This window comes from Homo sapiens, chromosome 5 (assembly GCF_000001405.40).
Source record: "Homo sapiens chromosome 5, GRCh38.p14 Primary Assembly".
Lineage (NCBI taxonomy): Eukaryota > Metazoa > Chordata > Mammalia > Primates > Hominidae > Homo > Homo sapiens.
Window position 1 is genome coordinate 18,907,716 of NC_000005.10, and position 13,995 is coordinate 18,921,710.

A 13,995-nucleotide genomic window follows, 5' to 3' on the forward strand; every position below is an offset into this window, starting at 1 on the left:
GATAAGCTAATTAATAGGGAGATAATACATAATCCATAATGTTTCCACCTTAAAGCAATAATCTTTTGTATTTAATGTGTCCATCACTAATTTGCTTGTTGTTCACCTCCAAGTGACCTTCACTCGGGAAACCCAGGCTGAAAGAGTAGCCACTGGCTGGAAGATCACTCAGCTCACATAAAAGGAGAAAGAGATTTGATTAGCCAAGCACTGGCTTAAAACTTCCAACTGGAATTGATCACATTCACATATATTTCATTAGACAAAGCAGGCCGCATGGGTTATCATGACAGGAATGGAATGGGAATGCATAAGCCTTTCTCAGTCAGGGATGCCTCAGAAAAAGCAAAATTGAATATATGTTGAGTAGCAATACAATCTAACATATTTCATATTTACAAATGTAAAAATTTGGGTATCTGTGTTTTCATAATAAGAAAAATAGATACTTTTTTAAAAGTGAAAATCTCATCTATATGGTGCTATCAAAGAAAACAGAATCAATTAGGTTGGAATTCTCATATGAATAACTTGCAGCAAGAAGACAATAGAACAATGACTGTAGATTACTAAGAAAAAAGAACTGTTGTACCCAATATATCCAGAAGTGAAATTAGTCATCTGTCAGAAAGGAAAAACAATTTTGGGATATAGAGAGGCTCATAGGGTATACAAACAATATCTATAAAGAGATTTTAAAAATGAATCAAAACAAGACATTGAATTAGGCATTAGTACATGAACTAATGGTGACCAACTGATATTATATTTTATAGTCAAATCTAGTGAATAATTATGAGTTACAGTGTAAAATTTGTAATAAAGTTATTGAATCAGAAAAGTAAAGATAAGAATAGTAAGTAAATGACTAACAGATAAATATTCTAAAATCTCAAAAAAATCCAAATAACAGAACCATGGGAGTTAGGCTGAGGTGAAGATGGGTGACAGCTAAGGTATAGATTTCTAAAATTTCAAGAGAGTGGGAATTTAATATATTAATATAATATACATTTAATTCTGGCTTTTAAAGAAAACAATCTCTACACTGGTGGTATAGAAATGTCAGTATAATTCTAAAATTTAAACAGGAGAGGGAGAAAGAACAACAGAGAGAGAGAGAAGAGGACAGAATTGCTGGCAAACATCAAAGAAAGGAAAGGAGGAAAAAAAACCATAAATCTTTATGTAAAACTAGTTGCCCATAAGTTTTCAGTTACTGAAGTGGATCACCTAATCACTATGAACTTACTTGTTTTCCAGATATAAGCATTCTTTGATCTTTCTGTGAGTGACTTATGTACAGAAACAGCAGTTCTGCAATGAATTTGAGAACACATTGCAGAATGGAGAAATAGTATCTTTATTTTACCTGATGTTGCTGAAACCAAGCATCCCTATAAATTATGGACAGACTTAAGGTGAAGTTTGCTCTGACTCATAAGATGGAAAAAAATATAATAAAACAGATAAGGTGTTTTTCACGAATGACCTCCAGTATTACGTGGACATACACTTGCTGGCATGGCAGGCATACGTAGCACAACAGGATACATATCAGAGAAGTTATTTTGGTCATAACAACCATTCTTTGTGCTTCTCCTACTTGTGGAATCGTGCGGATGATCTCTTTCAATTATTAATAAAGCCACCTTTAAGGGTTTTATCATCACAAATCACAGTTTCCAGGAGGGTAAAAATACAGCACTGCTCTATAATTCAGCTTATTGAAGATTCCTGGTATTTAACTGAAGAGTCCAAAACATATGTGGTGGGAATGATGTCATGCAGAAAGGTGCCCTGTTCAATTTGGAATGTATCAGTATAGTGCTAAAGGATTGTATTTGGATGATCACAGACAATAGCTATGCTTTTCTGTCAGAAGAAAATAGTTTATTTAAAGCCCAAAGTATGTAATTTTTATGAACTAAGAAATATACTCAAAGCACATTTATAACAAAAGATGGAAAATAATTAGGCTTCAAAAATGGTCAGAAATAATATTAACATTATTTTATTCTAAAATATATATGTATTAAAAAATAAATAAGTAACAGTGTCATTAGAAACTAATATTTCCATATAAGAGGTAAGAGAGATAAATAAAAATAAAATCAAATAATCTTATTACCAAATTTGATCTGGAGTTATCATAATGAACTGAAGATGAAGTAGATTTTGTTTATAGTAGTATTCTACCTGATAATTGACAATGATGTGATAGACTGATGATGGAATGATACTATCCCAATTTTTCGATTTATAATGAAATAAGGGATCTATAATATGATTATCAATGTCTGCTAAAGCTACTTGCAGAGGAACTTATAGGAAACCTGCATTAAGAAAAATAACCAAATAATTCTTATCTCAGGAATGAAAATTTGTTTACAATAGGAAATCAATCAGTATGATTATCCGTGTTAAATATAAACAGAAAAAAGGAGAAAAACAAAGATAATTTCAATCATTGCAGACAAAGGAAATCATTTGATATAATGACACATACATGATGAAAACTCTTAAGCAAACTAATAATATAAGGGTACTTTCTCAACTTAACAATAAATATTTTAAAACCTACAACTAACATTTACGTACTTTATACGTTGAGAAGATATTTTAAAATATTAATAAAATTTAATTACTTAATGGCAAAGACTGATCGTGTTGCCCCTAAAACTAGAAACAAAGAAAAGGTTTTTTTCTGAACTACTTCTGCTCAAAATTGTGCTACAATATCTAGCCAGAATATAAAAGAAGAAAAATACATAAAAGACACATATCTCAGGAATGAAGAAATAAAATTGCTTATTTTTTTAAACAGAGATTTTATTCACAGAACACATTATCTCAAAACAAAGACAAATTTACTTTTGAACGAGTATTTGATGAGATTGATTGATGCTATTTTTGTAAGTTGTGAGAATGCTATTATGATTGTGATTTTTAAAAAGAATCATGATCTCTTATAGATGTTTGCAGATGCAATGTTATTTTGCCTAACTTTAATACTATTCAAGTTGTAATGCAGAGGTCTTTAGTACAATGTCTAGGAACATATCAAACAAGCTTGGTTATTAGTGTGTAATTGTAGTAGGTGGTTGATGGTGTATGGGCAATCATAATTATCAATTCATTATCAATATTATTATTATATTATCATTCTCACCACTTATGGGTATTCTTGAATCTTCCATTATAGGAAGTTTAAAATGTAAAGAAAAAGAAAATGTGTTGGCAAAGATGCATAAGGTAAATAAAAATAGAAGTCAAAAGAGGCAAACTGAATTCAAGGTTAAAAATTAGATTAGAGAGTGTTTACCCAAGAAAAGCTAATTTTCATTTTATAAAGGTAGATTCTGTATTATTTTCTTTTATTGTGGTGAAACACACACACACACACACACACACACACACACACACACACCCCTGAGATCCACCATCTTAAAAAATATGTAAGTTTACAATACAGTATCGTGAACTATAAGTACAATGTTGCACAGAAGATCTCTAAAACGTTCTCATCTTGAATAATCAGACTTTATACAGTGTGATCAGCAAATCTCCATTTCCTCATATCTCAGCCCCTGGCAACTATGACTCTACTTTCCAGTCTGATTGATGGGTTTGGCTACTTTAGATACTTTATGTAAGTGGGATCATGTGTTTTTTTTTTTCCTTCTCTTACTCGCTTATTTCATTCAGCATAATGTATGCAGTGTTCATCTATGTTGTCACATATGATAGGATTTTTTCTAAGAATGAATAATAATATTCCATTGTAAGAATATACCACATTTGATTTATTCGTTAATCCATCAATGGACATTAAGATTGCTTCCACATCTTGGCTATTGTGAATAATGCTGTGATGAGCATAGGAGTGCAAATCTCTATTTGAGACACTGTTTTAATTATTTTGAATAAATACTCAAAATTAAGATTGCTGCATCTTATGATAGCTCTATTTTTATTTTCTTGAGGTATCTCCAAATTGTTTTCCGTAGTGGCTGCACCATTTTTACATTCCCACCAGCAATATAAAAGGGTATCAATCTTTCCACCTTTTTGCTAACAGTTTTTTTTTAATTTTACCTTTTTTATAATGGCCATCCTAACAAGTTTGAGGTGACATCTCATTGTGATTTGGATTGCATTTTCCTGATCAATAATGTTGAGCATCTTTTCATATACCTGTTGGCCATTTGTATGTCTTCTTGAGAAATATATGTTCAAGTCTTTTGACCATTTTTAATTGAGCCATTAATTATGTTTGCTATTGAATTATGTGAATTCCTTATATATTTGGGATATTAATTCCATATTAGATATGTAATTTGCAAATATTTTCCACCATTCTGTAGGTTTCATTTTGTTGATTGTTTCCTTTTTTGTGCAGAAGCTATTTAGCCTGATGTAGTCCCACTTACCTATTTTTTGTTGTTGTTGTTGCCTGTGCTTCTAGAAGTTGTACAATTTCTGATATTACATTTAAGAGCCTAATCTAAGTGAAATTAATTTTTATGTATAATGTAAGATATGGGTCCAATTTTATATTTTTGCATGTGGCTAAGTGAAGTATCCTGCCTGGACCAAATAGCTGTAAAATAGTAAATATCATTTTTTCTGTATCTCCCATCAGAAGAAAATTTGAATTGTTGGGAGTATTTTTTTAGTTTGCTCATGGTATAATTTACATACTTCATATGCTGAGAAGATATTTTAAAATATTAATAAAATTTAAAGAATATTCTTTTTACTGTATAGAAAAATTATATTTTTGTTACATTTTGATCTCCCATATCCAGACTAATTACTAAAAAACTGTTTCTGCAAAATTACCTGAATGAATCAGCCTAATTATGTCAACAGCTTAAGGCTAGGGATCCTGCTGAAGTTGTGGCAGGTGCAGTTGTGACAGCAAAGACGAACTTTTTCCAATAGTCTTTTTATGAGGTCAATTTAGTATAATCATGGATTGACCAGAGGTGGCCATAGATTATCTATGTGCAAATAAATACCTATGTGTTAGAAACTCTACTGTTAAAAGAAAATTACAAATTTAACACTTCAAGCATGTGTACTTGCTTTGCAACAGCAGCATTATAACGAAGTCAATCTGTTTATAATTAAAGCCTTATGAGATTCTTTTACCTTAGTAGGTTGTTGACTGAGAAACAAATACTTAAGTATGATAAGAAGGATGAAAGGTGGCTTAGAACATTGAAAAGGATTTTCCTGGGAAAACTACCAACATGGGAATTTGAATCAAAGTCGTTATTTGAATTTTACTTGGCCAGTTCTCATTTGATGAGCATGTATATATTTTAATATTTATATTGTGTATTATACATTTATATATTTTAATATTTACATTATGTAATTATGTATTATAACTTATGGTCAATAAGTGATTTTTGTTATGGTCCATTTGAAAATTACACTAATGTTATGGATACTTTAAAAGGGAATTGACTAAGCACATGAAATTCTTTAATACAAACATGAAACTATATATTATTTTGGCAGTGATTTATAAAATGCTAACTAAAGAAAAGTTACAATACATGGAAAGAGATCTTGAAATTATTCATTTCTTTGATAGTCATTAAATTATATTCAAGTGCAAATAAAGGCGTGTCTAAATAAACTTGAGTTGTTGGGATTTTTTTTTTAGTTTGCTCATGGTATAATTTAAATGCTTCATATGCTGAGAAGATATTTTAAAATATTAATAAAATTCAAAGAATAGATATTTTTACTTTATAGAAAAATTATATTTTTATTACATTTTGATCTCCCATATCCAGACTAATTACAAATAAACTAATTAAACTTTTCTTATCAATTCTTCATATTGAATATTGAGATTAATGAATGTACTGGAAAAAATGAGAAGGTGGAAACTGAAAAGCCAGGTACAATTGAAAACAATTTATTTAACCCAAATATTGAAACTATATCTAATATTATTGTATTTTCACTTTTATCCAATATTTATTTCTTTTTTATATTATCAGTACACAACAAAATATATCTAAAAATAATAAATAATGTGTGATATTTTGGTATATAATTCATGCAGCATTTTCTATTTTAGTGGCCACATTAATATGCATCAATGTGATAAACTTTATTTTAAAATGAATGGCTCATATACACTAAAAATATTTCTATGCTCAAAGATTTTATTTTACTAATCTTTCATCCCACCTAGGTCATCTTCATATCTTTTAATCTCTAATAGTATTTTCCTAATTATTTCAAAGTCCTATAAATACCTTTTCAATTGTTGTCTCTAGTGCTATATAGAAAAAGTTGTAAAGTTAAAACGAGAAGACACAAAAGAGAAAAGTCTTTTTTTTTTCAACTTTTATTTTAGGTTTAGAAATTACAGGTGAAGGTTTGTTACATGGGTAAATTGAGTGTCACTGAGGTTTGGGGTACAAATAATCCTGTCACCCAGGTAGTGAGCATAGCACCTAAGAGAGAGGTAGTTTTTCAACCTTTGTCCTCCTTCTACCCTTTTCCCTCTAGTAGTCCTCAGTATCTGTTGTTCCCATTGTCATGTCCATGTGTACTCAATGTTTAATTCTCACTTATAAGTGATAACAGGTGATATCTGGTTTTCTGTTCTTGCATTAATGCGCTTAGGATAACGACCTCCAGCTGCATCCATGTTGCTGCAAAAGACATGATTTCGTAGCTACATATTATTCCATGGTGTATAATGTGTACCACATTTTCTCAATCCAATCCATCATTGATGGGCATCTAGGTTGATTCTTTGTTTTTTGTCTTTGTTCTTGTGAATTTTGCTATGATGAACATATGAGTGGTTGTGTCTTTTTGGTAGGATGATTTATGTTCTTTTGGATATATAGCCAGTAATGTAATTGCTGGGCCAAATAGTAGTTCTGTTTTAAGTTCTTTGAGAAATCTCTGAACTGCTTTTCACAGTGGCTGAGCTAATTTACATTCCCACCAAGAGTGCATAAGTGTGCCCAGAAAGCTTATTCTTATGGAGACAGCGAAGTGTGCTTAGGTTTATTTCTTTTAAGGAATAATCATTCTCTGATCTCTGACTGGGCACACTCTTTAAAAATATAAAAATAGGTAAGTAAATGAATAAATAAGTAAATGTGTAGATATAATATATGCATGTATATATGCCTATATATTCACAAACTCATGTATATAATTATATATGTAAATGTGTTTCTTAGCAGAAAATTTAATTTTGTAATATTTGAGACATTGTATATAACCTTTTGTTCCTCAGAGCAACTGTATGAATTTTTTAGCTTTATCTCAATATAGAGTTTCATAAGCTTAGATTGAGAGAATATTAGTAATTGAACTTGCAATACTAGGAAGCAGTAAAACTTTGCATGTATCTTGTGCCCATAATCCACTAAATTAAATTTTGCCATACAAACTACAAATATTATGGACATTTAAAGCAAAGATTTATAAAATGTTTAATTTATTAAAACAAATTTAAAGGCAATATATTGTTGACCAACATCTTTACATTGTGACCAAAATGGCATATAGTTATTTGCATAATATTCGATTTTCTTTACACAAAACTATAATTTCATTGGCATTGATCCTAATAAGCATCTTTTCCTAGGCTACATTACAATTCATAGCATAATTCCCTAAATAAACCTCTTGTCGCATAGCGGGGCACTTCAGTGATGAATAGGTCAAAATCTGGGGACTATATCTCTTTTTTTGAGATATGGCCTTTTTATATAAAGTTTATATCTATATATATATATAAAAACAAAGTGCCAAAGGCTGATTTATACACTATACATAATTGGTTTCATCCAAGTGTAAAGCAAAAACTTTCTAGCCAGACAAATGTGATAGTAATTGGGTGATGCCCAACATGTTGTCTGATAAAAGAGTTTTGCCAACAGCTCATATTGCTTTTTCTCAGTGCCTGATATTTGTCATAACATTTGCAGCTATTTTTTAGAAGCTTTAGAGCAAGTGTAACATAACTTTTTTCCCCCTAATCTAAGAATGCAACTTTCCATGATGTCTCAGTAATATAATCCATCAGTTTTAAGCTTGGATGTGTTATTTTTTTCTTATTCTATATGAAACCACAAATTGCTTTCTTAGAGCACAGGAAATAGTGTTGCTTTGAAAATATGAAACTTTTGTGGCTTCATGTTACGACTTATATGGTGTCAAAACAAATAAAAAAGGCATTGGGATCTGGAACAAATGGATCTTCAGGTAAATTAAGTTCGTTTTCTCCATATTTTCATAGTCAGGGCTCTTTTTAAATTTTTTGGGGAGGTGATTTGGCAACTTTTTGTAGCCATGTTCTTCATTATCTCTGCAGACCCTGTAGTTCTATTGACTGTTTTAAACTTGTGATGTTATTTTTGTTTTCTTTTGAAGTTATGTTATTTTTTCCACATCTCATTTCATGCTATGGTGAAGTATGGCTGAATCCTGGTCAGTCTTGGTGAGTTGAAATTATAATACAGCACGATAAGAGCAAAAAAAAAAAATTAAACTCCAACAGACATAAACATTAGTGCAAATTAGACTGGCCTAAGGCTCTCTTAGTCATTTGGGGCTGCTATAACAAAATACTATAGACAATTTAAACAAACAAACCAAAAAACACTTATTTCTCACAGTTGTGGAGGATGGGAAGTTCAAGATCCAGGTGCTGGGTGGATCAGTTTCTGGTGAGAGTTCTCCCGATTTTCAGATGGCCTTATTCTTGTGTTCTCACATGGTGGGAAGGGGAAAGAGAGAAGACAGCTTCCTCTTTCATGTCTCTTTTTATAAGGGCTCTAACCCCATTTTGAGAGCTCTACCAGTATGACCTAATTACCACCCAAATGCCCTACCTCCAAATACCATCATATTTGGGTTTCAGCTTCAACATCTGAATTTTGTGTAGGCACATACATTCAGTCTATAGCAAAGACCAAGTAAACAGTGTAGTTATTTTAGGGCATGTTCAGTCTTTGATGAGGTTATCTAATAGTTATGGAATTCCCATGAAAATTATTATTTGGCTTTGATTTCAAATGGTGAAATATAGATGAATTATTTCATCACACTGGCCTCCAAAAATGGCAAAATACCTTCATACAATGTCATAAAGCATTGAATGCCACAAGCAGTCCAAAGATAATATTTTGAAATCATACAGGCTAATTTTAGTGATATATTAAGTCTTCACATATTCCATTATACCATGAAAATATGAAATAGTAATTGGAATCTATTGCTGGATAGTTATAGCCCTTGGTGGTGTCATATTTCCCTGCTTTTTCAAGTTTCTTGAGTCTTTCCATTGATATCTGCATATGTGGGTGTAGCAGTTCCTCATTCAAATTTTATTTTCCTGAAGATGTATGTATGTCATTGGGTAAGATACTTTGCCTTTTGTTTTGGGTGCCTGCAGTAGCATGAATTTTGTGTGACTTATTTGGCAGTACACAGGGTCAGTGATCTCTGGATGTCCTCAGTGACTTAGGGTACAGTTAACAGTTGAGTTGTGGTAAAGTTTAGCTGGGGACTTGGGTGGCAATTGAGCCAGTCTTTTGGCCCCAGTGCTGAAAGCAGTGTGGTAAGTCTCTCTGTTTGTAAGTCTCAGAGCAGTTTACGCTGGCTGTAGACTTAGTGGGTCCTGGAGGGCTGATTCTTGGGCCTTCAAGTGGCCTCCTCAGAAGTTAGCAGTGGGAATGGTGGGCCCAGTGTGTGAGTGGTTTCTTAGGCCACTGAGGAGCTGGTGTGGTGTCAGTAATGGCAGCAGCAGTGGTGGAGCAGCCCACTGGGACCCAAGTGGTTCATATTTTTGTTGGTAGAAGCTAGATCTGTTGGAAAGGCTGGTTCACAACCCCACAGCTGCCCACAGCAAGGTAATGGGTATTGTCTTAAGTGTGCTTAGGAGAACTTGGTTTCCCCTGTCCCTCTTCCAGTTGGGTAGTGGATGCAACTGCTTCACCTCAAACTCGTACTGAAAGTGGGGCACAGCCCAACATTAAACTCTCAGAATGGTACTGTGAGAACAGAGAAGGCTGAATCCCTACCAGGCAAGCAACCTGAACAATAAGCTCTGGATAGTATGGTGCATTCATGCATCAGTCTCAACAGCAGCCTGTTGCAGGTCAATGGGTCTTATCCTAGTGATATGGTTTGGCTCTGTGTCCCTGCCCAAATCTCATCTTGTATTGTAATCACCATGTGTCAAGGGAGGAAACTGGTCAGAGGTGATTGGATCATGAAGGTGGTTTCTCCCATGCTGTTCTTGTGGTAGTGAGGGAGTTCTCATGAGAGATGATTGTTTTAAAAGTGTTTGGCAATTCCCACTTCACTCTCTCTCTCCCGTTGTCTTGTGAAGAAGGTGCCTCCTTCTCCTTTGCCTTCCCCCATGATTGAAGTTTCCTGAGGCCTTGCCAGCCATGCAGAACTGTGAGTCAGTTAAACCTCTTTTGCTTATGAATTATCCAGTCTCAAGTAGTATCTTATATACTATAAAAACATACTAATTCACCTCGATATGCATAGGATAGTCCAGTTTCCCTGTCCTTCCTTGGCCTGGGTGGTGACTGTAGATGCATGTCTGCCTGAACTCAGGCCAAGAGTAGGATGCAGCTCAGTGTTTAACTCAAAATTGTACCCTGGGCCTGGAACTAGAGGGAAGAGTCCCTCGCAGGAAAGCAGCACGGGCAAGAAGCTGTGGGGTGTGTGGTTTGTTTACATCTCAGTCTTAACAGCAGCCCAGAGCAAGGGGGCAGGGACCCTACTATAGATGCATAAGAACACCTGGTCACCCTTCTCCTTACTTGGAGGAGACAGCAGCAGCAGCCATGCCTATAGATTCCCAGTTTCAGGGTTCTCACAATGGTTGCAAGCTGATACTGCTCCAGGCTTGGATGCCCGTGGCATTCTGTGTGTGTTCTATTTCAATGTCTCTATGCAATCTTTAGGCAGCTCCATATATCAGGCCTATGCTTTACTGGGTTGAGCAATTCTTCCACTGCAAAGATTGTAAAATCCCAGTTTGAAGCAGTGATGTTTCTTTTATACTTTTTCTGCACATCCAGGAGCGTCTCCTGGCTCTGAGTCAGTTCCCAGGTGGGCAAGCTGCTTTGAATCCTCTCCTTATTTATTTCTGGTGCTTCCTGTCTCTTCTCTGGTGAATCCTAGCGTTCTCTTCTGAATATGATTATCTACTTACTGTTCATTTTTCTCTCCATGGAGGGGGCACATACTACCTCCTTCCATCTTGATCCCACTCCTAAAAATATTTTTCTAAAAAAGTTGGCTTTATAAATCTATAGTACTTGATTGTGTATTTCATAGCATTGTAAAATTTCCTATAATTTATTTGAGAATAAAACCTATATAGGTAATGAATTAAATATTTGAGAAATTTGAGATATTTAGATTTATTTACCTATTTATTTAGCAAGGCATTTTTTACTTTGGTGTTGCATTTCCTTCTACTACTTTTGACATCAGCTACATATCTAATGAACAGGTCTCATGTTTTCTGCAACATTTAACCTCACGTTTTTGCCATATGTCTCAAATTTTCTGATTTGTGATTTTCTCTAAAGCTTTGAGAGTCTCCGTAGCCCACCAGGAAAGCATTCCAAGAGGACAGAAGTATAACTCATCCCCAGTGATATCCCTTAATAAATGGGGGGTGAAGAAGTGAGTTAGAGTTTGTGAATAAATATCCCAGTTCTACATCTAGAAAAAAAAATTCTGAGATTCAAGCTACATGTTTCTACAGATGGTCTTGAAAAAGACAGAGCCACAGTTTTCCATAGTATTAACCAGATCATTAATATATACTCTACTATCTTTTTTCACTTTTCTGTCTCACTCATCTCATTTTGTCAGTTCTGCTTTCAGACATCACCTCCAAAATCCCTTACCTGAAACCAAGTCTTTGTCTCAGTTTCCATTTATAGTAAAAATCAAGTAAAGGCATGTAGTAGAAGTCAGGTGGTATGCACGTGGACGCACAATAGTATCATAATTAATAAGACTCTCTCAGTGTGGCTGGATTGGGATGAGACATAAAAAAGAAGCAGTGGCCTCTCAGTAATTCCAAGACTTTAATGGTATGAGATAACTGTAAAATATAGCAATTGTGTTGTAAATTGTCTTTGTTAAATTCCAGATTTGCATGAATATTCTGGATGAAGAGAAGTTGCCTTTCCATCTTTCTTTTTGAGGAAAGCAGCCTCTTCTTGCTCAGTGAAGATGCCAATTATCACGTTAATAAAATGCCTTGAAATAATATTTTTTACCATCAAGCTGTGCTTCCCACTCTTTCATTGCCTATGGACCAATAATGGTAATGCCATTTTCTGTTTTGAGGTAAAATAATATTTTCATTGAAGAAATTTCCGAACCAGGCTAACATGACTAACAGGCACGTTTGATGGGGGAATCGCAGCAATGGATCTTAAAGGTACAAGTAAAAGAGAGAGTCAACCAAAAATATGGCTGAATAGGGGAGAAAATATTGGCATGGGGAATCTCTCCTTTGATTCAGCATTTAATATCCTGGCCAGATAAAATGGGACATGTCTAATATGCTTCTTGGATGCTCCTGGGATGTTAGATATTATGATACAGTCATAATAAATTGACTAGTACTTATATATTGGTATAGTAAATTGAAGTTAATATGCCAAAACTGTGTTGCTGGAACTTTGAGGAAGGTTAAGAATTGGGAATATGATCATTGATAAATGACATGAAACCAGAGGGCAAACCTTCCAATGCTCCTGAAAAGAGTTCAGAAAACATTCCTTTTACTAAAAACATAAGGTATATCACAATGTGTGAGTGGCATTGACAACCAAAAGTAGTCCAATAAGAATGCCCTATCAGGTCATAATTGATGATAAGAGCCGCTGCCATTGGTCTATGTTAACTTGATTTGTTTTTAAAAAGCTGAAACCAGTTGGTAGTACTTAAACACCAGCAGCAATGTTGTTTGCTACAAAACTGGTGGAAACATTGCTGTGGCAACTGGTATTTTTGACCTGTAGGGATCTGTGGCAACAGCTAAAAGATCAGCCTATTCTTAGAGGCAATATAGATTAGAAATATGATAGACTTGTATAAGGAAGGACAAGTATAGCTAGACTTGTGTATTTCAAATTATACAAAATAGAGGAAGGAGTTTAAAATTTAAGTAGGGGAAATTATCTGGGGATAATGGCAGCAGTTTTTGAATGTCATTAAATTTCCCAGAAAATACATACAGAGTTACTGGAATAGCAACACGAAATACCCATGGAAAATATCTGCAATTAAATTTAGTTAGATAACCCCCGTGTTTGCTAGGGATGCCACAACGACGTGCCAAAATCTAGGTGTCTTAGAACAAAAGAATTTCTTATCTCTCGGTCCTGCAGAACAGATGTCTGAAATCTATGTGTTGGCAGGGACATGCTCCCCTGAAGTTTCTTGGAAAGGGTTGGTTCCAGGCTTCTCTCCTATCTTCTGATAGCTTCAGTCATTCCTTGCTTGCTATTGACCATCTTCTCCCTGTTTCTCTTCACATCATGTTTTCCTTGTATGCTTATCTATTTCTGTTTACAAAATTTTCCCTTTTGATGAGGATATCAGTCATATTGTGTTAAGGGCCACCCTAATGACCTTATCTTAACTTGTTCATCGGCAAAGACTATTTCCAAACAAGGTTACATTCACCAGTACTGGGGGTTGGGATTTCATCTTCCTGGAATGAATTCAATCTATAACACCCAGAAATCATCAAATAAATGTAGTATGTACAAACTTCCTGCTACTAAAATAATCTAATAATATATATCAGATACTTTGCTGGAAGAATCAGAAGAATAGCAACAGAACTCTAAACTGGAAAATATCAAATTATCCAGCAGGTTCTTATTAACTAGGATGTGGCATAATCTAAGCACAACAACCAAAACTGACGGTATTTTTCAAATTCTA

At 34.0% G+C, this 13,995-nt stretch overlaps 1 pseudogene, besides 1 other annotated feature; it reads left to right on the forward strand.

Moving 5' to 3' along the window:
* On the forward strand, positions 1,186-1,747 carry LOC100421308 (phosphoribosyl pyrophosphate synthetase 2 pseudogene; annotated as a pseudogene).
* Positions 13,332-13,532: a silencer, noted in NCBI's record as "peak5172 fragment used in MPRA reporter construct". NCBI's record gives its function as "represses an SCP1 promoter by STARR-seq MPRAs in K562 erythroleukemia cells {active_cell/tissue: K562}" and the evidence as "EXISTENCE:reporter gene assay evidence [ECO:0000049][PMID:32103011]".